We start from the raw sequence: 25,626 nt of genomic DNA on the forward strand, positions 1-25,626 counted from the left end.
GTGCCTGGCCTGTTCCATTTTATTCTATCTGAAAATATTAAATGATGGTTGAGACCCAATAAACTAATTTCACACCCCCTAACTTTTATTCAACACAATTACATTAAAACTGCTGATTGCACCATTTAATGTAAAGGGTCAGAAAAATATTAATAGAAAATTTTTAAAGCTTTTACTACAAAACAAAGTTGAGGATTGAAATACAGACCTCTGACAAATCCCTTAGGTGCTGGTGCTGCTAAAATAAATTAGATGCAGCTGACTTCATTAAGGTCTCTCCCTGTGGCTTTCACTCTTGGGCAGAAAGAGGAATCAGACCAGGAAGAAGGTAAGTTTGGTTTTTATGCTGGAGTAGGCAGACTGGGGGCCCATAATATATACATATACATACATATATATATATATATATATATTTTTTTTTTTTAGATGGAGTTTCACTCTGTCCAGCCCAGGCTGGAGTGCAGTGGTGTGATTTCGGCTCACTGCAGCCTCCACTTCCCAGGTTCAAGCGATTCTCGTACCTCAGCCTCCCGAGTAGCTGAGACTACAGGTGTGCACTACCACGCCCAGCTAATTTTTGTATTTTTAGTAGAGACGGGGTTTCACCATGTTGTCCAGGCTGGTCTCGAACTCCTGGCCTCAAGTGATCCATCTGCCTTGGCCTCCCAAAGTGCTGGGGATCCTCCTACCTCAGCCTTCCGAGTAGTTGGGACTACAGGCATGAGCTATCAAGCCGGGCTAATTTTTTTTTATTTTTAGTTGAGATTAGGTCTTGTAATGTTGCCCAGGCTGGTATCAAACTCCTGAGCTCAAGAAAACCTCCTGCCTTGGCCTCTTAAAGTGCTGAGATTACAGGCATGAGCCACCACCTGGCCAAATTAACCATCTTAATCATCTTTTTAAAAAAGAGATGGGGTCTCACTATGTTGCCCAGGCTGGAGTCCTACTCCTAGCCTCAAGTGATCCTCCTGCCTCTGCCTTCCGAATACCTGGAACTAGCGGCCTGAGACACCTGGCAGGGCTACCTTAACCTTTTTTAAGTGTAGAGTTCAGTAGTGTTAAGTACATTCATACTATTATGAAACTAAGACTTTGAATTTATCCTCCAGGCAACTGAGATTTATGGAATTACTGAAAGATTTCAGGACCCTACTAGAGGTTTAGGAAGGTTGTCTTGGGGGGTGGGTGTAGTGGGAGGTAGGGGATGGAGGCTAGCAGGACTGGAAGGGATTGTAAGTTTAAAAGCTTGCAGGGGGCCTTGTAAGTAAGGGTTGGTTTTGGCTTGGTCACAGGGTTTTCTGCCAGAGGGGAAGTTAGAGAAGGGAACTCAACACACCACTGGCTGAGTACCAAGCCTGTATGGGCCAGATGCTTTCCGAGGGCTGCACACTTGAGCTAGCCAGCCACACCTTGCCAGGATGTGCTCTGTTAACCCCTACAGTTAAAAAAAATGGGGGAGGCGGGTTTGGATTAGTTGCAAAAATGGAAACATTTGGAGATCTCACTTTTTTTTTTTTGACGCAGTTTCACTCTTGTTGGCCAGGCAATGGCGCGATCTCGGCTCACTGCAACTTCCGCCTCCTGAGCTCAGATTCTCGTGCCTCAGCCTCCCGAGTAGCTGGGATTACAGGCACCCACCCGGCTAATTTTTTGTATGTTTAGTAGAGACGGGGTTTCACTATGTTGGCCAGGCTGGTCTCGAACTCCTGAGCTCAGGCGATCCGCCCGCCTCAGCCTCCCAAAGTGCTGGGATTACAGGCGTGAGCCACCGCGCCCGGCCAACGCCCTGCTAATTTTATCATTTTCTTGTAAAGACGGGGTCTGGCTGTGTGGCCCAGGCTAGTCTCCAATTCCTGGCTTCAGTTGATTCCCCTGCCTCAGCCTCTTAAAGTGCTGGGATTACAGGTGTGAGCCAACGAGTTCGGTCTCACTCTATTTTAAAAAAACCTTTTAATCAATATATAACAGACATATAGAAAAGGACACAAATAAGCGTAGAGCTTAGTGAATGTTCACAAAGCAACAACACCTGAGATGAACCAGCATCCACATCAACAAGCAGAACGTCGCTAGCATCTCTGGAGTGATGCTCATTTAGCCCTATGAAACCTCATGAAGCCGACCGTTTTATCACCCCCATATTACGCATGAGGAAACAAGCGTGGAGAGGTCGGTCTCAAGCAAAGCCCTGTTGAAACCGGCATTTGAATCAGATCCGCTGACTGACTCCAAAGCCAATGCTCTCAAAAAGCAGGTTTGGGGGTTAGACGGTGAGTTCAGCTTTGAACGATGTTGAGTGGGCGTCTCGTTTTACAGAAACTTACTTCCCGACGTCACAGCCACAGAAACCACAGGTAACCAGACGCCTGCACGTCAGGCCACCGACGCCTTGGTCTACACAGCGCAGCCTCCAGTGAGCCCGCGGCATGCCGCGCGGCCTCCCCACACACGATGGCGATGTCGCAACCACAGTAGAAAGAGTGGCGCTCTCTACTGTCCCGGAATTCTTGAGGCCGGAAGAATAACAGGGCAAAGGTCACGTAGACGGCGCGCCCCGCCCCCGTACGCCTAAGTTCTCGCGCGACTCCCACTTCCGCCCTTTTGGCTCTCTGACCAGCACCATGGCGGTTGGCAAGAACAAGCGCCTTACGAAAGGCGGCAAAAAGGGAGCCAAGAAGAAAGTGTAAGTCGCGACTGTCGTGGCGTCTTGCTTTTTGGGGGTCTGCTGGAATCGGCGGGCTGGTCCTAGATCGCGGCGTAGGCCGGATGGCGAGGATTCCAGTCGGATTGTGCGGGCCGTGGCGGGTTGGTGCACCCAGGAACGCGGCCTGGAGGGTCGGTGTTGAGTAGCGGCAGGTCGGCTGCCTTTCCCAGGCCTTCTGGTCCTTGCGCGCGTCGCGTTTGAGCCGGCTTGCCGGCGCGACTCGGCTGGAATGTTAGTTTTGTGGGCTCACGAGCTGCCTCAATTCTGCGAGTGTTTGATGGCACTGCGACAGCAGGAGTTGAGGAAAGCACCCTTCTATCCATTCAGGACCCGTCAATCTCGCCTTTGCTTGGTCCCGCTGGAATCTGCGAGCTCCTGCTAAGCTTTGGGGCCATGCAGTCTCTTAGTTACCAGTACATGCCATTACGTGCCAGCAAAGTTAATGAGATTGCATGTTACTCGTGCCTGTGTAGTGGAAGGACCGATGCATGTTATTCTAAGTGCCTGTGTAGTGGATGGACCGATGAGGGTGGGAAGTGGACATAACCTTTCAAAGTCTGATGCATGCAGTGAAACGTACAGTGGGAAGAGCTAGATTTATGTTTGTTCCCCTCACCTCACTGTGAGATATACTTTGGTATCAAATTGCCGGTTAGCTTTTTAAAATATTAATGGGAAATACCATTAACAGTGAAAAATACAGTAAGAATTGATCTGCAATGGAACTTAAGCATCTTCTTAAAATCCAGGGTTGATCCATTTTCTAAGAAAGATTGGTATGATGTGAAAGCACCTGCTATGTTCAATATAAGAAATATTGGAAAGACGCTCGTCACCAGGACCCAAGGAACCAGTAAGTAGCTTATTCTTGGTTTGTATTTTCCTTAAGTTGGCGCTTGTATATTGTAGCAGGCATCTTGGTCTGTTGTTGGTCCTGTGGTGGGAGACTTTAAGGAAATGTCAGCTCTTGGTTGCAGCCTTGGCACCTGTGGTGATCATTTTTAGTACAGCACTTGGAGAGAAGCAAGATGGTGCTTTTTGAATTAAGAAAATGTGCCATGGGTAGTTCTGAGCTTCAAATAAGTACTGTTGATAAGTCACTGGTGTCTGGATAGATTTGATAACAAAGGTTAAGGTCTTTATAATTTACCATTAACTTAATTTCTACCCTCAGTTTACAGGCTTGACTTTGCTTATATGGTTCCTAAATGTTAAGATACTTGTTTTTTTCTTTTGTAGAAATTGCATCTGATGGTCTCAAGGGTCGTGTGTTTGAAGTGAGTCTTGCTGATTTGCAGAATGATGAAGTTGCATTTAGAAAATTCAAGCTGATTACTGAAGATGTTCAGGGTAAAAACTGCCTGACTAACTTCCATGGCATGGATCTTACCCGTGACAAAATGTGTTCCATGGTCAAAAAATGGCAGGTGAGACCCAAAGTTCCTTAGAGTGGTTGTGCTATGGGTGTTTGACCAAGGATAGCATGGTTTGATGACTGGAAGGAGCAAGTTCATTTTATTTATTTATTGAGACCAGTGAAATGTCCACAAAGTTCATTTTAAATTTTTGTTTTCTTGCCGTTGTTGAGTGCTAACTCTGGGGTTGCCACACCATATTTTACTTACTATTTAAATCTAAGATTTAATAGTGGTGTATCATCAAAGTCAGATTTTCTTGCTGCATAGATTAGTGGTTTTTTGAGGAACGTTTAGGTGCAGGTGGGCGGTTTTGCCTGTCTTAAGGATGTTTTTTGACCTCAGAATTGAGTGAATGTTGATTAACTGTGGCAGTAGAGCATAATTGTGGCAGAGCCTCTGGAGTGAGGTTAAAATCTGGGCTCCATTTGCCTATTGTGTTCTCGTTGGAAAGTAACTTGTTTTCTAAGCCTCGGTTTCTTTATTTGTAAAGTGCAGATAAGAGTGTCATTTTATTGAATTGTGAGGATGAAATGAAAATATTTCAGATGTGTCTGGCTAACTATCCAGTTGGAATATTTTGTGGGAGTTTTTTGTTTTTGGGAGATTGAGTCTCTTATCGTCCGGGCTGGAGTGCAGTGGCGCCATCTCTGCTCACTGCAACCTCCTCCTCCTGGGTTCAAGGGATTCTCATGCCTCAGCCTCCCAAGTAGCTGGGATTACAGGCACCCGCCACCACGCCCAGCTAATTTTTGTATTTTTAGTAGAGACAGGGTTTCACCATATTGGCCAGGCTGGTCTCGAACTCCTGACTTCAAGTGATCTGCCCGCCTCAGCCTCTCAAAGTGCTGGGATTACAGGTGTGAGCCACTGCACCTGGCACAGTTCGAATATTTTGTATGTGGGAATGAATGATGACAAAATGTTTCAGTCCCAAATGATACATACTGATTATACCATTATATTTATCCTGACATTCCTCTAAGGCTTTATGGTTTACATTTCTAGAAATATTTTAAGGTCCCTTAGCTGTAAATTGTATTTGATTAGTTTTTTTTTATACTAAGGTATAAAATTTACAAAATGCAAACAAGGTAAATCAGTTTTCATCACTACCCAAGATGTTTTTTGTTTTTTCAATTTAGGCAATAATATGACCACTAACTAGGGGTTTTTAATTATATTTTAGCTCTGAAATTGGGTATTTAATCATCAGCATGGCTTTAGTTTGGAACATAAAAGACGTCTTTCAAAGTGTGCATTTAGAGTTATAGCAGTCACCTATTTACAACACAGTTTTTTGAAAAATGACATAATCACTGTAGATGTGTTCATACCATAGAATACCATGGATCCTCTCAGACCTATTTTCCTCTGGTGTAGTTTTACACTTGAGGGGGTATGAGCTGTTTAAAGGGGTATATGTATATGCAATGGATGTGGGTTTGGATGCCGTCAAGATAGTGGTAGTGTTAATGGAGGGTAGAAAGGAGGAGGGAGGGCAGTTGAGAGGACCTGGTTATTTAATTGGGTAAGAATTTGGGGGTAACTTGGTAAGTTCAAGGAAGTTAATTCTGTAAACTTAAAGAGATGTTACTTATGTTAGGATACTTTATATTTAATAATGAGTGTTTGACAATCCAGCTTTTTAAAATTAGAACTTGAGGGATAAATGGATAACGTAAAACCTGTTAAATCTGACGGTATCTTTTTTCTCCAGACAATGATTGAAGCTCACGTTGATGTCAAGACTACCGATGGTTACTTGCTTCGTCTGTTCTGTGTTGGTTTTACTAAAAAACGCAACAATCAGATACGGAAGACCTCTTATGCTCAGCACCAACAGGTCCGCCAAATCCGGAAGAAGATGATGGAAATCATGACCCGAGAGGTGCAGACAAATGACTTGAAAGAAGTGGTCAATAAATTGTAAGTGTTTCTTTGCTTCCTCACACAACACAACCTTGAGTATTGGATTATTCCTGAGATGAGAGAACGCATATGAGACAAGGTAAAGGTCTGTTGAAATCCTGTCTGTGAATCCTTCTAGCTATATCTCTTTAAGTGAAAGAGTGTTAAGTACTCAGTAAATATGATTATTATTACTATTATTATTTGAGTCAGAGTCTTGCTCTGTTGCCCAGGCTCGAGTGCAGTATTGTGATCCTCCTTGGCTCACTGTAACCACTGCTTCCTGGGTTCAAGCAGTTCTTGAGCCTCAGCCTCCTGAGTATCTGGGAATACAGGGGACTGCCACCATACCCAGCTAATTTTTTTAAATTTTTAGTAGAGATGGGGTTTCATCATGTTGGCCAGGCTGGTCTTGAACTCCTGACTTCAGGTGATCTGCCAGTACTCTAAATGATAACAGTTTTTTCGTGTTTATTTATTTTGAATGAAGCTGTCTCACAGTAGATGGAGTTGAAGGACAGGAAATGTTTTTCCCCTACTTGGAAAATACACTGAATAAGTTGAGTGGGGTGGGATGTGCCTGGAGTCCCAGCTACTCAGGAGGCTGAGGTGGTAGGATTGTTTGAGCCCAGGAGTTTGAGGCCAGCCTGGGCAATATAGGGAGACCCTGTCCCAAAAAATAAAAAATATACGTATATATATATACACACACAAAGAAAAAATACACTGAATAGACAAAACCTTTCATGATTAATGATGCACGGGAATAAGTGATGAAAAAAGTTTCGGTCCCAGATGATGGCCAGTGATAACAACATTTTTCTGATGTTCCCATGCAATATACAGTTAGCTAAGAGGGTGTAATGGAAAAAGCATAAGGCTTGGACTCAGAAGACTCTACTAACTTTGCCACTAGCTAGCTATGTAATTCAGATCATCTATCCTTTACATGTGAAAGGTAAATAATGGCTTATCTTAACAGGAGGATTTATGCAGGTTAAATGAGGTAGGTGTTATGTGTAGGTTTATTCCAAGGCTTCTCTACTTTTAAAGGAAATGGCTTATATCTGAGAACTAGGACTTTTAGAAAAAAATTTACTGTTACTGGTTTGCAGGATTCCAGACAGCATTGGAAAAGACATAGAAAAGGCTTGCCAATCTATTTATCCTCTCCATGATGTCTTCGTTAGAAAAGTAAAAATGCTGAAGAAGCCCAAGTTTGAATGTAAGTGAGAAATCACATGATTCCTGTAGGGCCAAATACATTGTTTTTGGGTGGAGGAGGAGTGTGGGGCCATATCATGGCCTTCTTTTTCTTCCTGTCATGCTTGCATAGTAGTGATGACCATTATTTCAAGATATACTAACAGTTTTTTGGTTTTTTTTTTTTTTTTTTTTTTTGCCTTTTAGTGGGAAAGCTCATGGAGCTTCATGGTGAAGGCAGTAGTTCTGGAAAAGCCACTGGGGACGAGACAGGTGCTAAAGTTGAACGAGCTGATGGATATGAACCACCAGTCCAAGAATCTGTTTAAAGTTCAGACTTCAAATAGTGGCAAATAAAAAGTGCTATTTGTGATGGTTTGCTTCTGAACATTCTTTTTTTAAAAATAATCTGACAGCTTGGTGGATTAGACAGTAAATTTGACAGCTGGTAAACTTTTCTGACCCAGACAAATTGGATATAAACATACTACTATGCACCTTTACTGTGAAGCTGAAATGGGGCGGAGAAGCTGTTACCAAGTGGGCATTTAGTGCTATCCACCTATAGTCACTCATTCATTCAGTTTCTACCTCTTCTCAAGCCTTTTCAGTTTTCTCATTTCTTGCTTAGCTGATAACCTTGCTTCCTTTAATCACTAAAAAAGTTTAAAGCAGAGAAAAGAACCCCACAAATTTCTGTTACCTATATTCTGCCACCTATGCATGTGTTAATCATACTACCTTCTGTCATACCACTGGATGGATTGTGCTAAGACATAAGACAGCCTTTTTTTTTTTTGCCCAATCAGCCTCATGGCTTCAGCAATTCACACCTTTATCAATTCCTCGCTGTCCCTTGTATACTAGTATACAAATACTAGTATACCCTCCCAGAGCACCTTACTAAGTCCCTTTATAGCAAAGCTCAAAGGAATTTTTTATATATTGGTATCATTTAATTTTTTTTAATTTTTAAAACTTTTTTACATATAAAATATATTTTAAAGGTCAAGTGCGTAGCTCATGCCAGTAATCCCAGCACTTTGGGAGGCTGAGGTGGGTGGATTGCTTGAGGTCAGAAGTTCAAGACCAGCCTGGCCAACATGGTGAGACACCGTCTCACCTAAAAAAAATAAAATTAGCCAGGTGTGGTGGCGGGGTGCCTGTAATCCCAGCTTCTCGGGAGGCTGAGGCATGAAAATCACTTGAACCTGGGAGGTGGAGGTTGCAGTGAGCTGCACTCCAGTCTGGGCTACAAAATGAGACTGTTGAAAAAAAAATTACATTTGAGAGACATGATCTTACTCTGTCACCCAGGATGGAGTAGAATGGTGTGATCATAGCTCGCTGTAACCCTAAAGTCCTGGGCTCAAGCAGCCCTCCCTCTCAGGCCTCCTGAGTAGTTGGGACACAGGCCTGTGCCACACCACACCCAGCTTTTTTTATTTTAAAGACAGTCTCACTGTCACCCAGGCTGGAGTGTGTTAGTGCGATCTTGGGTCACTGCAACCTCCATCTCCCAGGTTCAAGCGATGCTTGTGTCTCAGCCTCCCCAGTAGCTAGGATTATAGGCACCCACCACCATGCTGGGCTAATTTTTGCATTTTTTAGTGGAGATGGGGGTTTCGCCATGTTGGCAAGGCTTGTCTTGAATTCCTGGCCTCAAGTGATCCTCCCGCCTTGGCCTCCCAAATTGCTGAGATTACAGGTGTGAGCCACTGCACCAGGCCTAATCTGCTAGTTTTTAAGTTCTTTGTAGGGTCTTGGCTGTTATGTCCAGACTGGTCTCAAATTCCTGGCCTCAAGGGATCTTCCTGCCTCAGCCTCCAAAGTGCTGGGAGTATAGGTGTGAGCCATGGTGCCCAGCCACATTTTTTAGTTTTTATTTTATTTTTCTTCAATTTGCTGCAGTTAGGCTTTCCTCCCAACACCACTCCAAGACATTTCATTGTCAAGATTAGCAGTGATTTTGTTGCTAAATTCAGTGGTCCATTCTTTTACTAGAGGTCTTTTACTTGACCTCTGTTAGTGACTTGCTTATCACTTTGTCCTGTTAGTGACTCTTGACAGTTGATTTCTTCCTGATTTTAACTGTCTTCCAGATCCTCGACTCAAGCTTTTCCTCCTACATCATTGGCTACTCCTTTACTAGTTCATTTTTTAGACTTTTAATCAGTTTTAGAAGGCCCTAGGGCTGGTCGGGTGCAGTGGCTCACGCCTGTAATCCCAGCACTTTGGGAGGCTGAGGCGGGCGGATCACGAGGTCAGGAGTTACAGACCAGGCTGGCCAACACAGTGAAACCCTGTCTCTACTAAAAAATACAAAAAGTTAGCCGGGTGTGGTGGTGTGCACCTGTAATCCCAGCTACTTGGGAGACTGAGGCAGGAGAATTGCGTGAACCTGGGAGGCAGAGGTTGTAGTGAGCTGAGATTGGGCCATTGCACTCCAGCTGAGGAGACAGTGTGAGACTCCGTCTCAAAAAAAAAAAAAAAGAAGGCCCTAGGGCTTGGTCGTTAGACATTTCTATACTCTCCCTAGGTTCTTGGTTTTAAATTAATGGAGATTTTTATATTTCTAGCCTATACCTTTCTTTGGGACATCCAGGTTTGTCTAAGTGCCTACTTGATATCCCCACTTGGATGTCAGACAGGCATTTAACATACAGTGTTCTAAAATGGTATTATCTCAATTGTACCCACCCTTTTGGTTGCTTAGGCCAAAATCCTCTGTGGTCATCCTTGACCATTCACAGTTGATTCAAACTATATATATCTGGAGTCTAATCAGTTATTACCATCTTCTGCTATTTGAAACAAGCCACCATTACTACTTGGATTGTTCCTGCCTACCTTGTCTATGTCCTATCTTGTGGAAGTCTTTTATTTTTTATAGGCAGGATCTCACTCTGTTGCCCAGAATGGAATGCAGTGAGACAATCAGCTCACTGCAGCTTTGCATTCCTGGGCTCAAGTGATCCTCCTGCCTTAGCCTCCTGAGTAGCTGGGGCTACAGGTGTGTGCCACCATGGCTGGCTAATTTTAAAATATTTCATGTGGAAATGGGGTCTTGCTATATTCCCAAGGCTCCAAGGCTGGTCTGGAACTCCTGGCCTCAAGTGATCCTCCCGATTACGGGTATGAGCCACTATACCAGGCCCTGAAAATCTGTTTTAGACGATTCATTCAAAGATCCCATGTGATCTTGCATCTGACTTGTCTCTTACTCCTATTCCCCTTGCTCTTCCCTGTGCTTGAAATATTCTCCTTTACATGGCCACAGTGTTTATTTCACCTCCTTGAAGTCTCTGCTGTTTGTTGTTTATTTTTAAGCAACCTGAATGAGGAATTGAAGTTTGTTCTAATAATGTCTCCTCCGTAGAATCTGGTGGTGCCCTCTGACACTTGTGATTTTTTTCCAGTTTTGTTTACTCGTGTCTATGAGAAAAATTCCATGAGGACAGTGTTTTTGGTGGTGGTAGGGCACTGATTAATTGTCAGATCATCATTGCCTAGTTCAATATTTGTTGAATAAAGGAATGAGTGATATTCCCTATTAATGTCCCTTAGCCAAGAAACAAATGCCTTACTTTCTACTAAAGGCTGGTTTAGACATAGATATGGGTCCCAAATGGCAGGGGCTCCCTCCCCAGGGTAGAAAAAGAGGTCATGGGATGAGGACTGATTATTACATAAATGGTGGTTTTCCTCTTGATGCACTGAGGCTGGATATCATTTAGTAAGGTAATAGTATAATCCATAATCAAGCTCTAATCTGCTACACCTTGGAATAGGGGTTGGCATAGTATTCTATTTTTAGAAGGGCTCATTTGAAAGAGGTTCCAAAAATAATGCTTTTTTTTTTTTTTTTTCGAGACAGAGTCTTGCTCTGTCGCCCAGACTGGAGTGCAGTGGCACAATCTCAGCTCACTGCAACCTCTGCTTCCCGGGTTCAAGTCATTCTGCCTTAGCCTCCCAAGTAGCTGGGATTACAGGTGCCGGCCTCCACACCCGGCTAATTTTTTGTATTTTTAGTAGAGACGGGGTTTCACCATGTTGGCCAGGGTGGTCTCGAACCCCTGACCTTAGGTGATCCACCCGCCTTGGCCTCCCAAAGTGCTGAGATCACAGGCATGAGCCACCGCGCCTGGCCACAAGTAACTATGTTTAATGCCCACCACCAGTCTTTAGATTGATGGCTCTCTAGTTATTTTGGTTGTCTGAAGCATGTCCTTTGGTAGGTTCCTTAGGAAGTTCTTATTCTTCCATGGTGAGTATAATTTGTCAGAGTACTTTATATCTCAAAGTCACTTTTGCTGCATCCTTAGCTCCTTGGCTCACTCTTTAAGCATCTTAAATATGCTACTCCCATTTTTTTAAAAATAACTTAAAGCATTGCTAGTGAAAAGTATGATAATTAAATTTCTTTTAAAAGTCTTCGATTTTGGGTAGAGGCCCCCCAGTTTTTTCTCTTTTTTTTTTTTGAGATGGAGTCTCACTCTGTCGCCCAGGCTGGAGTGCAGTGGCACGATCTCAGCTCACTGCAATCTCCGCCTCCCAGGTTCACGCCATTCTCCTGCCTCAGCCTCCTGAGTAGCTGGGACTACAGGCACCCACCACCATGCCTGGCTAATTTTTTTGTATTTTTAGTAGAAGCGGAGTTTCACCATGTTAGCCAGGATGGTCTCGATCTCCTGACCTTGTGATCCGCCTGCTTCGGCCTCCCAAAGGGCTGGGATTACAGGCGTGAGCCACCGTGCCCAGCCTTTCTGTTTTTTTTGTTTGTTTGTTTTTAAGAGACGGAGTCTTGCTCTGTCGCCCAGGCTGGAGTGCAGTGGCATGATCTCGGCTCACTGAAAGCTCTGCCTCCTGGGTTCATGCCATTCTCCTGCCTCAGCCTCCCAAGTAGCTGGGACTACAGGTGCCCACCACCACGCCCGGCTAATTTTTTGTATTTTTAGTAGAGGCGGGGTTTCACCGTGTTAGCCAGGATGGTCTCGATCTCCTGACCTCATGATCCGCCCACGTTGGCCTCCCAAAGTGCTGGGATTACAGGCGTGAGCCACCGCGCCCAGCCTTCTGTTTCTTTAAAATCCAGTAATTTTGCTTGAATATGTCTTACTAGGGTTTTTTTCTGATTAAGTAGTGTTACGTAGGCAGTATATTCTTTTTTTAATTTTTGATACGGAGTTTCGCTCTTGTCGCCTAGACTGGAGCGCAATGGCGCAATCTCAGCCCACTGCAACCTCTGCCTCCCAGGTTCAAGCGATTCTCCTGCCCCAGCCTCCTGAGAGGCTGGGATTACAGGCGTGTGCCGCGATGCCCAACTAATTTTGTTATTTTTATTAGAGATGGGGTTTCACCATGTTGGCCAGGCTGGTAATCCCAGCACTTTGGGAGGCCAAGCTGGGCAGATCACTTGAGGTCAGGAGTTCCAGACCAGCCTGGTCAACGTGGCAAAACCCTGTCTCTACTAAAACTACAAAAATTAGCCGGGCTTGGTGGCGTGGGCCTGTAATCCCAGCTACTTGGGAGGCTGAGGCAGGAGAATCACTTGAACCCTGGAGGAGGAGTTTGCAGTGAGCCGAGATTGTGCCACTGCACTCCAGCCTGGGAGACAGAGCCAGAATCTGTCTCAAAAAAAAAAAAAAAAAATCTTTTGCAGGTAAAGTTTTCCTAAATTTCAGTTTTTAGCATTCTGTGTCCTTGCTCTGATTTTCTGTATCAGGGACTTCTTCACCTATGATCTTAAAAGCAGCTGCAGTTATAATTGCTAACCATCCATGTGATATAATCCTTAGTCCAGGCTGAGTTGGCAAATTGCTGCCTATGGTAAATCTGGCCAGTTTCCATTTTTGTATAGTCTGCAAGCTGAGAATGTTTTTTCTATTTTTATAGATTTGAAAAAATATTTTACTACGTGTAAAAATTATATGAAATTCAAAATAAACATAAATATCCACAAATCAAGTCGTATTGGAACATGATCATACTCATTTATCTTTAAATATTGTGTTTCTGCTTCAAAACATTTTTAATCTGTTTTTAAATAGAGATGGGGTCTCACTATGTTGCCCAGGCTGGCCTTAAACTCCTGGACTCAAAAGGATCCTATTGCCCCAGCCTCCCAAAGTGCTGAATTACAGGCATGAGCCACAGCCCCTGGCCCACTTGCTGCTTTTTACACTACAACTGCAGTGGTGCAGGTGCAGTTCACACTGAGGTGGTGCACTCATCACTTCACACTGCGGTGCACACTGCAAACTGCAGCGATACCACGCTCAAACATTTTGAGTGCCACACATTTTACCTGTGAAAAGACATCTTCAAAAATGAAATACAGGCCAGGCACTGTGGCTCATGCCTGTAATCCCACCACTTTGGGAGGCCAAGGCAGGTGGATCACTTGAGGTCAGAAGTTCAAGACCAGCCTGGCCAACATGGTGAAATCCCGTCTCTACTAAAAATACAAAAATTAGTCAGGCGTGATGGCATGCTCCTGTAATCCCAGCTACTTGGGAGGCTGAGGCAGGAGAATCGCTTGAACCTGGGAGGCAGAGGTTGCAGTGGGTGGAGGTTACAGTGAGCCAAGACTGCGCCACTGCACTCCAGCCTGGGCAACAGAGTGAGACTCCGTCTCAAAAAAAAAAAAAAAAGAAATACATAAAATCTCATTACAAGTCACTGTTCACAGATGAAAATTTGCAACTCATTTTTATAATGGGAATCACTAAGCTCTAATTTAATGAAATGTTATTCCCCATCCCAAAAGAAAAAAATTCCATTTTTTTCCTCATTAGTAGATCTGTATTACAGAAAAGTACTCAATTATTATCATGATAGTTTGAACTTCATTAATAATTTTGTGGAGATTTGTTTCCTCTTGTTATATGCCTACATCCCACTTTTGCTTCTTGGCCCACAAGGCCAAAACTATTTATCTGGCTTTTCACAGAGAAAAGTTTGCCAGTGCTACTGTAAATAAGGAAATAAAGCATCCAAATTCAACTGACAGGGTTTGGGCAAAACTTGCAGTGGAGAAAAAGGTTTTTTAAATTTATAAAAATATATATATATATATTTGAGACGGGAGTTTCATTCTTGTTGCCTAGGCTGGAGTGCAATGGCACAATCTCGGCTCACCGCAACTTCTGCCTCCCAGGTTCAAGTGATTCTCCTTTCTCAGCCTCCCCAGTAGCTGGGATTATAGGCATGTGCCACCATGCCTGGCTAATTTTGTATTTTTAGTGGAGACAGGGTTTCTCCATTGTTGGTCAGGCTGGTCTTGAACTCCTGACCTCAGATGACCCACCCACCTCGGCCTCCCAAAGTGCTGGGATTACAGGCTTGAGCCACCGCGCCCAGGCAAAAATATTTTTATATTTAAGTGTGTGAGTCCCTCTGGGCCAATTCAGCGTTCTATTTTGCACTGCTAAATGTGAGACTGATGTGTACATGCTTGTGCACTTCATGTATTCAGAGGAGGTTCTCCCATTCAGGGCACTGCTGTATTTAGAAAAGTGTTAATGGAACAAACTCCTCTGCCATTTGCCGTGTGTGTGTGTGTGTGTGTGTGTGTCAGTATTTAAACACAAGTGTTTCTACTCTGACGGCCACAGTTTTCACATGAGAGCGAGGATGCTGTCCAGTTGTTTGACAACTCAGAATTCTCAATCTCATACCTTGACTGTGGTTTCATCACACCTCCACCAACAGGAGTGTTTGATAAAACTCCAAAACAATTCAGGAGCCTGTTCACCAAGTAGTTTCTTGGGACTGTGTGGATGGATTCACAGTGCTTAATCCCTCTGGCAGTCAAGGACAAACTGCTATCTCTTTAACCTTTTGCTGCTTCTAGGCTTATTGGAGGGCTTTGGGTATTGGAGACCGCATGCCTCACTAAACAAGCCTTGCTGATAAAAAACAGTGTGTTCTGGGATGTAGCAGCCTTAGGATCATCTTGGTTTTTCATGAAGTGGTGGTAGAAACTCCTGGAAAACTTTATCTAGCACTCCACTGCGTGAAGCGTACTTGCACCTGTTGGGTCAATGGGGTCCTTACTTCACCTAAGTCTCCTAAATGATTGGGCCTGATTCACTGATGGCTCTGCAGAATGGAAAGCTGGTAGTATCCATTGTGTTGCTGTTGCAATCCAACCTCAGTGCTAGCCATGCAACTAAAGTGAATGAAGTCCCTGCTCAGTGGGCGGAACTCAGTTCTCATAGCCAATACTGCTTTTGATTAACCTTGCCCTATTTTAAAAATTATTATTTTTAGAGTTAGGGTCTTGTGCTGTTGCCCAGGTTGGAGTGCAGTGGTGTGATCACAGCTCACTGCAGTCTCAACCTCCTGGACTCAGGGATCCTCCTACCTCAATCTCCTGAGTAGCTGGGGCTACAGGTGTGTGTCCCCATGACCTGCTTTTTAAAATTTTTGTAGAGATGGGCATCTCGCTATGTTGCCCAGGCTGGTCTTGAACTCTTGTACTCAAGTGATTCTCCTGCCTCAGCCTCCCAAAGTTGAGATTACAGGTGTGAGCCACCACACTAGTTTTTGCTGACTTGGGCTGTTACTAATGGCCTAGACATCTGGTCTGCCAGTTGAAAGGCAGACTAAAGACATCTCTTTTAAGGCTATAAACTATGAAAATAAATTGTGGCTGCCAACCAGAACATCTGGGTCATTCATGTAGATGACTACAGTTAAGGGCTGATAACACCTGTGACTGATAACACCTAGTGGAATCAAGCTGCTGATGAAGCCAGCATCACCTGGATTGTCCTCACAATGGCAACACATCCACCATGGCGGACTAGGCACCCAGTAAAGAACTCTTTCTCATGCATGCCAGTCTTGGTGACCCCTGCTAAAGTTATCCCATTTGTCTGGAGGTAAATAAGGCCATACTATACAGGACATGGGCCCGCTTGCTCCTAACTGACTGACTACACTGGCCATTTGACCTCCTGTTAGGGCAACTCATGGCGGAGGGGCTGACTGCTGTTAAGACCTTCTTAGGCTATGACGTTGCTGTTTCGGTCTGACCAACTGACTTTGACCATACAATTACAGCTCTTGAAACTAATGTGTCATATTAAGACCCAGGCTGGTCTTAAAACTCCTGGCTCAAGCGATCCTTCTGCCTCAGCCTCCCAGAGTGCTGGGATTACAGGTGTGAACCACCATGCCTAGCTGGAAGGGAAATAATTAATGCACAATTTGTTCCCTAGGTCAGTTTCTCAACCTTGGCACTATTAATATTTTAGGCCAGATAATTCGTTGTTTAGCAGTTACACTGGCCTCTACCCACTAGATGCCAGTAGCACCTTCCCTCTAGTTGTGACAAATAAAAATGGCTCAGACATTGCCAAATGTCCCCTGGAGGGCAAAACTGCCCCCAGCTGGAACCACTGCCCTTGATTCAAAACCACTACCTGAATCAAGTGGCAGCTGCAGCTAACAGTCTGACCTGCTGCTGGGCTTGTCCAGACCACCATGAAATGTGCTATGAAAACGAAAATCTCTCATAAACATGGTCAGTCCTGCACTGTTCTGCTGTGCCTGATACCATCAACAACAGCACCCAAATTCGAATGTATACAGACATCAGGACCAACACAACCTTGATTCAATCTGACTGATCATATGCTTTTGACGCCTGAGTGGTCTTGGGTAATACCGTATATGGCAACCGAAGCTGCAGCTATTTGGTGACACTGCCCCTGTGACTTAACCAATGTGATGATACAAATCAGGTTTAGCAACGAGTCCTGAACCAAAGTGACTTGTGTCCTTTGGGGTTATATTTTGGTATATAGGGGAAAAATGGGTAGGAGAAAAATGGGTCATGAGATGTCTCCCCATTAAGGACAGAGGTCGCTTTCTGGCCCATCAATTGTCTAATTATTGCAGCGACACCAGAGATTAACAGATCAGTTTAAACTCTGTACAGGTCTTAATGAATAAAATACCCTGGCCCTAGAATACCTCATGGCTGCCTAAAATCAGACCTACTGGTACTCCCTGAGATTATTCACAGTAAGCTGTCTGGGACCCTGGAGAGTAAGACTGAGATCAATACTGCAGGTTGGCTTCATCTGCTGCTTTGAGTCTTGATAATAGACTTAATTAAACGTCATGTGAGACAAACTGAGTGGATTTGGTTCTGGCTTCTGTTGGTTAGCTTAATCGAAGTGGTTGTCAGAGTAGCACACTTGTGTAAAAATTTAAGTTTGGCCAAGAATGTGTCAGGCTGAGGAGTGAATAGTGACAGAGGCAATGTGCTGTATACCCTAAGTGTCTCTGCACATTCTTGCTGAGTATGCCAAGAATACAATCCCTTGACTGTTCTTTACCCTGGCCACTTCTCAGGGCTGTGTTTGCACCCTTGTGAGCAACCTTGAAGGATGAGGTAACGTCTCCCCCAGGAAAAAAAGCAAGCTTGCTTCCATTTGCTATAAAAGTGGTGGATCTCAGTGTTCCTCTCCTGTCACACAACTCACTGTATAATGGGCCCTTTGCATCACCTCCTCGGGATTTGGTGGGGTATGGGAAACTGACACATAAGAACACGAAACTCTGGTTCTCACTTTTGCTATCATGAAGTGTTTTGCTCCTGTCCCAGAAGTCTCATGTCTTCTGCTAACATCCATGAAACCATGCCAGGCTAAATGTTTAGCTTACAAGTTGGGTAAAATGTCAAACACTGCACAGTTCCTGACAATTTCTCCTCCTCAATTATTTGAAGCAAATTTAACTTATCAAATGTAAATATTTCATCATGTATCTCTGAAATGATTTCTTAAAAAGAAATGTAACCAAAATCCTATTAACACAGCTCCAAATTTCAGTAATAATCTTTAGTATCTTTAAATATCCAGTCATACCAATTTAATGAGTCATTAATTCTCTGACGTAACGCTGTGATAGGCAATGCAAGTGTGACAGCTATGAAGGGTAATGAGTTTCCATTTGCTAAGATCATTTAAGAAGTCAAAGTAGGGCTGGGTGCGGTGGCTCACACCTGTAATCCCAGTACTTTGGGAGGGTGAGGCGGGTGGATCACCTGAGGACAGGAGTTCAAGACCAGCCTGGCCAAAGTGGCGAAACTCCATGTCTACTAAAAATACAAAAAATTGGCTGGGCACGGTGGCTCATGCCTATAATCCCAGCACTTTGGGAGGCCAAGGCGGGTGGATCACCTGAGGTCATGAGTTTGAGACCAGCCTGACCAACATGGTGAAATCCTGTCTTTACTAAAAATATAAAAATTAGCTGGGCATGGTGGTGGGCACCTGTAATCCCAGCTACTTGGGAGGCTGAGGCAGGAGAATTGCTTCAACCCAGGAGGCAGAGGTTGCGGTGAGCCAAAATCACACCATTGCACTCCAGCCTGGGTTGACGAGCGAAACTCCATCTCAAAAATAAAAATACAGATACAAAAAACTAGCAAAGCGTGGTGGCGGGCACCTCTAATCCTAGCTACTTCGGAGGCTGAGGCACGAGAATTGCTGGAACCTGGGGGCAGAGGTTGCAGTGAGCCAAGATCGCACCATTGGACTCCAGCCTGGGCAGCAAGGGCAAAACTACGTCTCAGAAAAAAAAAAAAAAAAAGAAGTCAAGGCAGAAAAATTATTGCAGGTGTCAGCTCCTAGAAGTGTATAACATCCATCCCGGCCCTATTATTATTTTTTTGATACATATATGTATATACACGTATATATGTGTATGTATATATATGTGTATATGTGCATGTATATGTAAGTATATATGTGTATATTACCACATATACATTTGTGTATACGTATATGTATATATGTATGTGTATATGTATATACATACACGCATACATACGTATGTGTATATGTATGTATATATTTAAAGTGTGTGTATGTGTATACACATATGTGTATATGTATATATGTGCATACATATGTATAAATGCATGCATGTATACATGTATACGTATATATACATATACACATACGTATGTATACATATGTATGTATACACTGCATATACATACATATGTATGTATACACTATGCATATACATACATATGTATATATACACATGTATGTATATACTATGCATACACATACATATGTATATATACACACGTGTACACACATATACATATGCGTATACATTCATACACACATACATGTATACACACATACATATACACATACACATATATACATATATGTATATATACACACACACACATTTTTTTTTTGAGATGGTGTCACTCTCTGTTGCCCAGACTGCAGTGCAGTGGCATAATCTCAGCTCACTGCAACCTCCATTTCCCAGGTTTGCGCAATTCTCCTGCCTCACCCAGTAGCTGGGATTACAGGCCCACGCCACCATAGCCTGGCTAATTTTTGTATTTTTAGTAGAGACAGGGTTTCACCATGTTGGCCAGGCTGGTTTTGAACTCCTGACCTCAGGTTATCCACCCGCCTTGGCCTCCCAAAGTGCTGAGATTACAGGCGTGAGTCATAGTGCTCAGCCAGAGGCCAATATTTTGGTATTGTTAGTTAATTTTTGTGAAACATAGACAACCAAATATTTCATTTAATTATTGCCTAATTTACAGTACTTGAAGATAAATAATCCATGGTATACATATAATTAGAATTCCTTTAAAAAAATCAGAATATGTCTCAGACTCTGAAATATAAATCTATCAGCTTAACAGTGCTTTGGTTAATCTATTATACTCCAAAATACTAATAACAGTGTTTTGTGTTATATTTTAATGAAAATCTAGATTTATGATTGCTCTACTGTTGCCAAGGGCACAGCCCTACAAGATACAGCTGTACAAGATCTGATGTTCTAAATTTTTGAATATTTTCTATTAAAGAGAAAAAGGAATCCACATTAGTGGATCCATTCATGTTTCAGTTTCTAGGTAACATCAATATAAATTGTCCACATAAAACCAAGAAGCTGACAGGACTTTTCTTCCTGAAGGATAAAACTTCAAGGCTTTAATACATACTGTGTAATTCTTTCTAATCGTTAAGTATTAGAGGCTACAACCACTACAGGCCAATGAAACGGATCAATTCTTCTTGTTTAACTGCTAAAAAAAATGTTATCACTTTGCCATAATAAACGGAAAAAGAACTGGATTGGAAATCCGCAGAGATAGGTTTTACTTTAGGCTCTGCAAGTAACTGTGACTTTAGGCAAATCATTTAACCTCTGCAAGTTGAACTCTGGTCTCCAAGGGCTCTCTTCTGTGGTATAACAGGATGAGCTCGCAATTAAGAGAGCGGCCCCTAGATGGTAGTGTTGTTCTGAGTCAGGCTTTCTATTTTTTTTCCTTCTTTAATTACAGTGAAGTAAAAAGGCACAAGTTAGAAAATGACTTCACGTTAGTTCTGAAAAAAATTCAGTTGGCTGGACAAGGTGGCTCACGCCTGCAAACCCAGCACTTTGAGAGGCCGAGGCGAGAAGACTGCTTGAGCTCAGGAGTTCAACACCAGCCTGGGTAACATGGTGAAACCCCGTCTTTACAAAAAATAAAAAATTAGGCTGGATGCCGGGGCTCACGCCTGTAATCCCAGCACTTTCAGAGGCCGAGGCGGATGGATCACTTGAGGTCAGGAGTTCAAGACCTGTCTGGCCAACATGATGAAACCTGGTCCCTACTAAAAATACAAAAAAATTAGCGGGGCACAGTGGTGCGTGCCCGTAATCCTAGCTACTCAGGAGGCTGAGGCAGGGGAATCACTTGAACCTGAGAGGCAGAGGCTGCAGTGAGCCCAGATTGTGCCATTGCACTCCAGCCTGGGCAACAGAGCAAGACTCCACCTCAAAAAATAAAATGAAAAAAATAATAAATTAGCCAAATATGGTGGCACATGCCTGTAGTCCCAGTTACTCGGGAGGCTGAGGTGGGAGGAACACTTGAGGCCAAGAGTCTAAGGCTGCAGTGAGCCAAGATCATGCCATTGCACTCCAACCTGGGCAACAAAGTGAGACCCTGTCTCTAAAATACAATACAATAAAATAAAATAATAAATTCACTGTGAAGAATTCATTCAATGGCATTCAAAATGACATTGAATCATGAATCATATGGCTCATGTGCATTTGACATTAATTAAAAGAAATAAACCATTAATGATTATACCAAAGTGAATATATCGCCTTATAATTATTAGTCCATACAGTCATCATTATTTTCTCTAGGTATATTTAGGTAAGCTTAAGAAACTGAGTAAAAACTAAGAAATGAATGTTAGGAGTATTGATCTACAATCTTATAGAAAAATTTTTTTTTCAAATGCAAGTTCTACTAATAAATTCTGATAAACGCACTTTCTTTCATTTTGAATATTACAGACTGAATTCAAGACCTGTGATTTATATGAGCACAATGACAGATATATTCCATTACCCTTCTAGCCATGTAAACAAGGGCATCTTTTAAAGAAAAACGCTTTTAGTGTTCAAAGGATAAGAATAATATATTAAATGGCTTCTCTAGGTTTTTTTTCAACTGAGTCGCCTTGCTTGGAAAGGCTTCTCTAGGTTTTTTTTTGTTTTTGAGACGGAGTCTCACTCTGTCGCTTAGGCTGGAGTGCAGTGGCGCGATCTCGGTTCACTGCAAGCTCCGCCTCCTGGCTTCACACCATTCTCCTGCCTCAGCCTCCCGAGTAGCTGGGACTACAGGTGCCCGCCACCACGCCCGGCTAATTTTTTGTATTTTTAGTAGAGACAGGGTTTCACCGTGTCAGCCAGGATGGTCTCGATCTCCTGACCTCGTGATCCGCCTGCCTCGGCCTCCCAAAGTGCTGGGATTACAGTCGTGAGCCACCGCGCCCAGCCCTCTAGGTTTAATTTATCAAAGAAAAAGGATTAAGAGATTCTAGTTTGAGGAGGTTTAGATGAACAAGATCAGATTTTAACCTAAAATTCCTGAAAGGAAACAGAATGTGTTCCTATTTCTCTCCCATAAAATTCACTGAGTATAAAAATTATGTTTCTCCTTAAACATGCTCAGTCTTGCCTTGAATTCAATCAATATACAGAATAAGAAAGTACCTATGAGGCCGGGCTCGGTGGCTCACGCCTGTAATCCCAGCACTTTGGGAGGCCGAGGTGGGTGGATCACGAGGTCAAAAGATCGAGACCATCCTGGCTAACACGATGAAGTCCCGTCTCTACTAAAAATACAAAAAATTAGCCGGGCGTGGTGGTGGGCGCTTGTAGTCCCAGCTACTCAGGAGGCTGCGGCAGGAGAATGGCGTGAACCCTGGAGGTGGAGCTTGCAGTGAGCCAAGATCGTGCCTCCGCACTCCAGCCTGGGCGATAGAGGGAGACTCCATCTCAAAAAAAAAAAAAAAAAAAAGAAAGTATCTACGAGAGCCCATATGTTACCTTTTTGCTTCCTGTCAGTTGAGTAGGTAATAAGTGGCAAGCACAACATAGAACATGAGAGTGAAATGACATAAAACTGTGAATTTTTAGTATAGATTTATGTCAAAAATTAAAGAGGAAAGATATTGAGTGAATCCAAGATGGTATTGCTGTATGTGAAAGTCATTCATCCATCCATCCATCCATTCCAACCAACCAACTCACCCAACCCACCAACCAACCTTTATTGAGGCTGAATGGTGCAAAGGACTAGAGATACAAAGATAAATAAGGTACCACAGGCCAGGTGCAGTAATACCAGCACTTTGGGAGGCTGAGGCAGGCAGACTGCTTGAGCCCAGGTGTTTGAAACCAGCCTGGGCAACATGGCGAAACCCTGTCTCTACAAAAAGAAAAAAAAATACCAGAAATTAGCTGGGCACGGTGGTGTGCGCCTGTAGTCCCAGCTACTCAGGAGGCTGTGGCAGGAGAATCACTTGAGCCCAGGAGGCAGAGGCTGCAGTGAGCCAACATTGCATTGCACTCCAGCCTGGTCAAAGGGAATTAAATCCTGTCTCAAAAAAAAAAAAAAAAAAGATACCACCTCCATTCTCAAAAAACTCAGTCTAGTATGAGAAAGGGACTTTGAAAGTTCAGTTCAGTTTATTACAGTGTCAAGTAGATTTACAACTATTGCACTTATCATTCTGCTGACAGAAGGCCAAAACTGAAGATTGAGATTTTCCTCTAATAAAGATAGGTTTTCAGAATCTTCAATATAAGATGTTAAAATTATAAAGGCAAAGATATATACCTCATGTTCCATTCCATATCCTTCCTGCTGTTGTACAGTTTGCTGCAAATGATAATTTAATTTGGATAATGCTTTAAATCATTGATTTCTCATGAAATTACTTTTGAGTGAAATTTGACAAGAATTTTCTTTATACTCTCTTCTTTACCAAAACGTATTAGAAGTCCCCATAGTCCAAAATAAAATGTAACCATAGAATGGGGAGATAACTTTAGTCAAAGACCAAGTAAATATTACCTTCTTTGCAGAACTCCAGGTTGTAGTCACGTAAAAGTGTGGCCACTTGTTGCTTAACTTTTTGGACAATGGGAAAAAAAAAACAATAAAAGCTAAAATGTGGTCCAGCATATGAAACTCTTCTCAAAAACAGAAGAAAGTCATGACCATTGTTGGGAAAGTGTTTTACATTTCCAATGAAATTCTATTCCATTGATCTGTTTGGATGATTGTCTTCAACCTATTTGGCTCTAGCCCATAAATTGTAATTGATTCAGTCATGTAAAGAACCACTTTTATCTTAAGCTTAGAATTTATAACAATGGAAAGCAGGAAAGTGGTTTTTCATTCACTCTAATAATTGTGCAGGGATAAGCTAGAGAAAAAATAAAACAAAAAAGTACCAGTCTTCTGTCCTCTTAAATTATTTTTCATTCTGATTATATTACAAAGAAATGAGCTGTGGAGGTTTGGCACTGTTTTCCATCTTAACAGTTGTTCTGTATTGTAAGATTTTATATGTGATTCATAATGTACTACTATAACAAGACACAGTTTTTATATATTACTGGAATAATGCAAAGAAAATGAATTTTCCTTTGGGTCCAGTAATTGTCAAAGGAATGATTGCAGATTCAGAAAATGTGCTTTGTAATAACCCTGTTAACATAAAGTATACACTGAGGAAAAAAATAAGTATGGCACATATATGGAAGGATTAGTTGTATTAGCAAGGCATTTCAGGGATGGTTTTGGTTCTTTAGACTAAGTAAGATACATCCAATTTAGACCCCCTTCAAATCCTTAGACAAATGGGAATCACTTGGTAACATAAAGATTATTTTGGTGGGCAGGGGCTGATTTCACCATGTGCTTACAAATGCTCCAACTAGTCAGTAAACTATCCCATCTGAAGGAAGGATTTGCTCTGGTAATAAGGCTGATATGCTCAAGCTGTAAGAATTAATTTGAATATCAAAAATGAAATTGAGATTGCTAACCATGTCCTGATAGTTACAGCATGTAGAATATTAAATGTCCTCTTTTTTAACTAAAGTAAAAAAATGAAGAAGCATGGTTAATTCACTTGTGCTGATTAAAACAGATGTCCACGTGCAACTTCTGTGTGTGAGCCTCCCCATGCTGCCATGCCACCAGATGCTTTCCCTTCACCTTGCTAATCCCACTAGATGTTTTCCTCGGTAGAATCCTAGCTCATGGGTTTCCATGTGCATGTTTCTATTGTAATGAAAATTAACTACAAAATCTGAACGTTTTCTGCTTTCAGAAAATTCTAGTGTACCATGTACAGCTTAGATATTTCTTTTTCAGTTAAAAAAAATAGTGCAAAAACATATCTGATAGTCAAGGTGATAGTTCAAGTGAGTTCTTGTGCCAAGGAACACAGACAAGCTTCTCCTCTAGCTGATCTGTAGAAACTGTATGTAGTTTTTGGGAAATATTCCAGATTTTCCCATAAGTTCTCCACTCATCCAGTCATCATCTACAGATTCCAGCTCTGTTATTATATCTCCAGCCTGTAAGACAAAAGGAGTTAGAATTACTGGTTTCTGTTGAGAATAAGCATGGTAAATAGTGGCCTACCTAGGGCAGCATGAATAATCTTCTCTGTATAACTCATTTATCTTGATTGTTGAGAATTAAATGACAACAATGATCTATACCTAATGATGCCATTTGCTTGTAAGCCTCTATCCCTTAAATCTCATTCCTTTGCCACTGCCACCCTTGCTGCACTTTGATTTTCCCTCTTATACTTTGTGCCTCTCAAATTCACCACTCCTAATCTAAAATCCCTCTTGAACAAATAATACCAGTTATCACACACACACACACACACACACACACGATTATTTATTGAGTACCCACTATGTGTCAGACACTGTTCTGAGCACAATTAATATTCCCTCATTCTACAACGGGAAGGCAAATAAACTGGCAGAAGAGGACAGAAAGCATGGGATTGC

At 42.6% G+C, this 25,626-nt stretch overlaps 2 protein-coding genes and 2 non-coding genes across 18 annotated transcripts in view, besides 6 other annotated features; 3 read left to right on the plus strand and 1 right to left on the minus strand.

Annotated features, from left to right (window-relative positions):
• Positions 1,507-1,576: an enhancer, noted in NCBI's record as "active region_22019". NCBI's record gives its function as "activates an Ori minimal core promoter by ATAC-STARR-seq in GM12878 lymphoblastoid cells {active_cell/tissue: GM12878}" and the evidence as "EXISTENCE:reporter gene assay evidence [ECO:0000049][PMID:35858748]".
• Positions 1,854-3,053: an enhancer, noted in NCBI's record as "MED14-independent group 3 enhancer chr4:152020037-152021236 (GRCh37/hg19 assembly coordinates)". NCBI's record gives its function as "activates an origin of replication core promoter dependent on BRD2, BRD4, P300/CBP and CDK7 cofactors, and independent of MED14, by STARR-seq in HCT116 cells {active_cell/tissue: HCT116}" and the evidence as "EXISTENCE:reporter gene assay evidence [ECO:0000049][PMID:35650434]".
• Positions 1,854-3,520: a biological region, named in NCBI's record as "MED14-independent group 3 enhancer GRCh37_chr4:152020037-152021236".
• Positions 2,352-2,936: an enhancer, noted in NCBI's record as "NANOG-H3K27ac-H3K4me1 hESC enhancer chr4:152020535-152021119 (GRCh37/hg19 assembly coordinates)". NCBI's record gives its function as "activates a minimal SCP1, AML or CMV promoter by ChIP-STARR-seq in naive and primed H9 embryonic stem cells {active_cell/tissue: H9 hESC(naive and primed)}" and the evidence as "EXISTENCE:reporter gene assay evidence [ECO:0000049][PMID:30033119]".
• Positions 2,357-2,916: an enhancer, noted in NCBI's record as "active region_22020". NCBI's record gives its function as "activates an Ori minimal core promoter by ATAC-STARR-seq in GM12878 lymphoblastoid cells {active_cell/tissue: GM12878}" and the evidence as "EXISTENCE:reporter gene assay evidence [ECO:0000049][PMID:35858748]".
• RPS3A (ribosomal protein S3A) lies at positions 2,597-7,611 on the plus strand. Of its 2 annotated transcripts, NM_001006.5 has the most exons (6): positions 2,597-2,683; positions 3,454-3,557; positions 3,944-4,131; positions 5,840-6,048; positions 7,146-7,255; positions 7,441-7,611. In NM_001006.5, exons 1-6 carry the CDS (start codon positions 2,622-2,624, stop codon positions 7,560-7,562), a joined length of 795 nt encoding a protein of 264 aa, NP_000997.1. In that variant the 5' UTR covers positions 2,597-2,621; the 3' UTR covers positions 7,563-7,611. The 2 variants fall into 2 exon arrangements, with proteins under 2 accessions (NP_000997.1, NP_001254628.1); NM_001267699.2 differs by lacking the exons at positions 3,944-4,131; positions 7,441-7,611 and having other exon boundaries at positions 5,840-7,167.
• Positions 2,937-3,520: an enhancer, noted in NCBI's record as "NANOG-H3K27ac-H3K4me1 hESC enhancer chr4:152021120-152021703 (GRCh37/hg19 assembly coordinates)". NCBI's record gives its function as "activates a minimal SCP1, AML or CMV promoter by ChIP-STARR-seq in naive and primed H9 embryonic stem cells {active_cell/tissue: H9 hESC(naive and primed)}" and the evidence as "EXISTENCE:reporter gene assay evidence [ECO:0000049][PMID:30033119]".
• On the plus strand, positions 5,026-5,100 carry SNORD73B (small nucleolar RNA, C/D box U73B). The gene has a single exon (NR_145963.1). It is a non-coding gene; the product is annotated as a small nucleolar RNA, C/D box U73B (small nucleolar RNA).
• SNORD73A (small nucleolar RNA, C/D box 73A) lies at positions 6,796-6,860 on the plus strand. The gene has a single exon (NR_000007.1). It is a non-coding gene; the product is annotated as a small nucleolar RNA, C/D box 73A (small nucleolar RNA).
• SH3D19 (SH3 domain containing 19) overlaps positions 23,250-25,626 on the minus strand; it is a 205,325-nt gene continuing 202,948 nt past the window's right edge. For all 14 annotated transcript variants that reach the window (NM_001378131.1, NM_001378128.1, NM_001378122.1 and 11 more), the window contains one exon: positions 23,250-25,176. In NM_001378131.1, coding sequence (NP_001365060.1) covers positions 25,060-25,176 — 117 coding nt within the window. In that variant the 3' untranslated portion in view covers positions 23,250-25,059. The remainder of the gene's footprint in view (positions 25,177-25,626) is intronic.

The sequence above is a fragment of the Homo sapiens genome, chromosome 4, assembly GCF_000001405.40.
Source record: "Homo sapiens chromosome 4, GRCh38.p14 Primary Assembly".
NCBI lineage: Eukaryota > Metazoa > Chordata > Mammalia > Primates > Hominidae > Homo > Homo sapiens.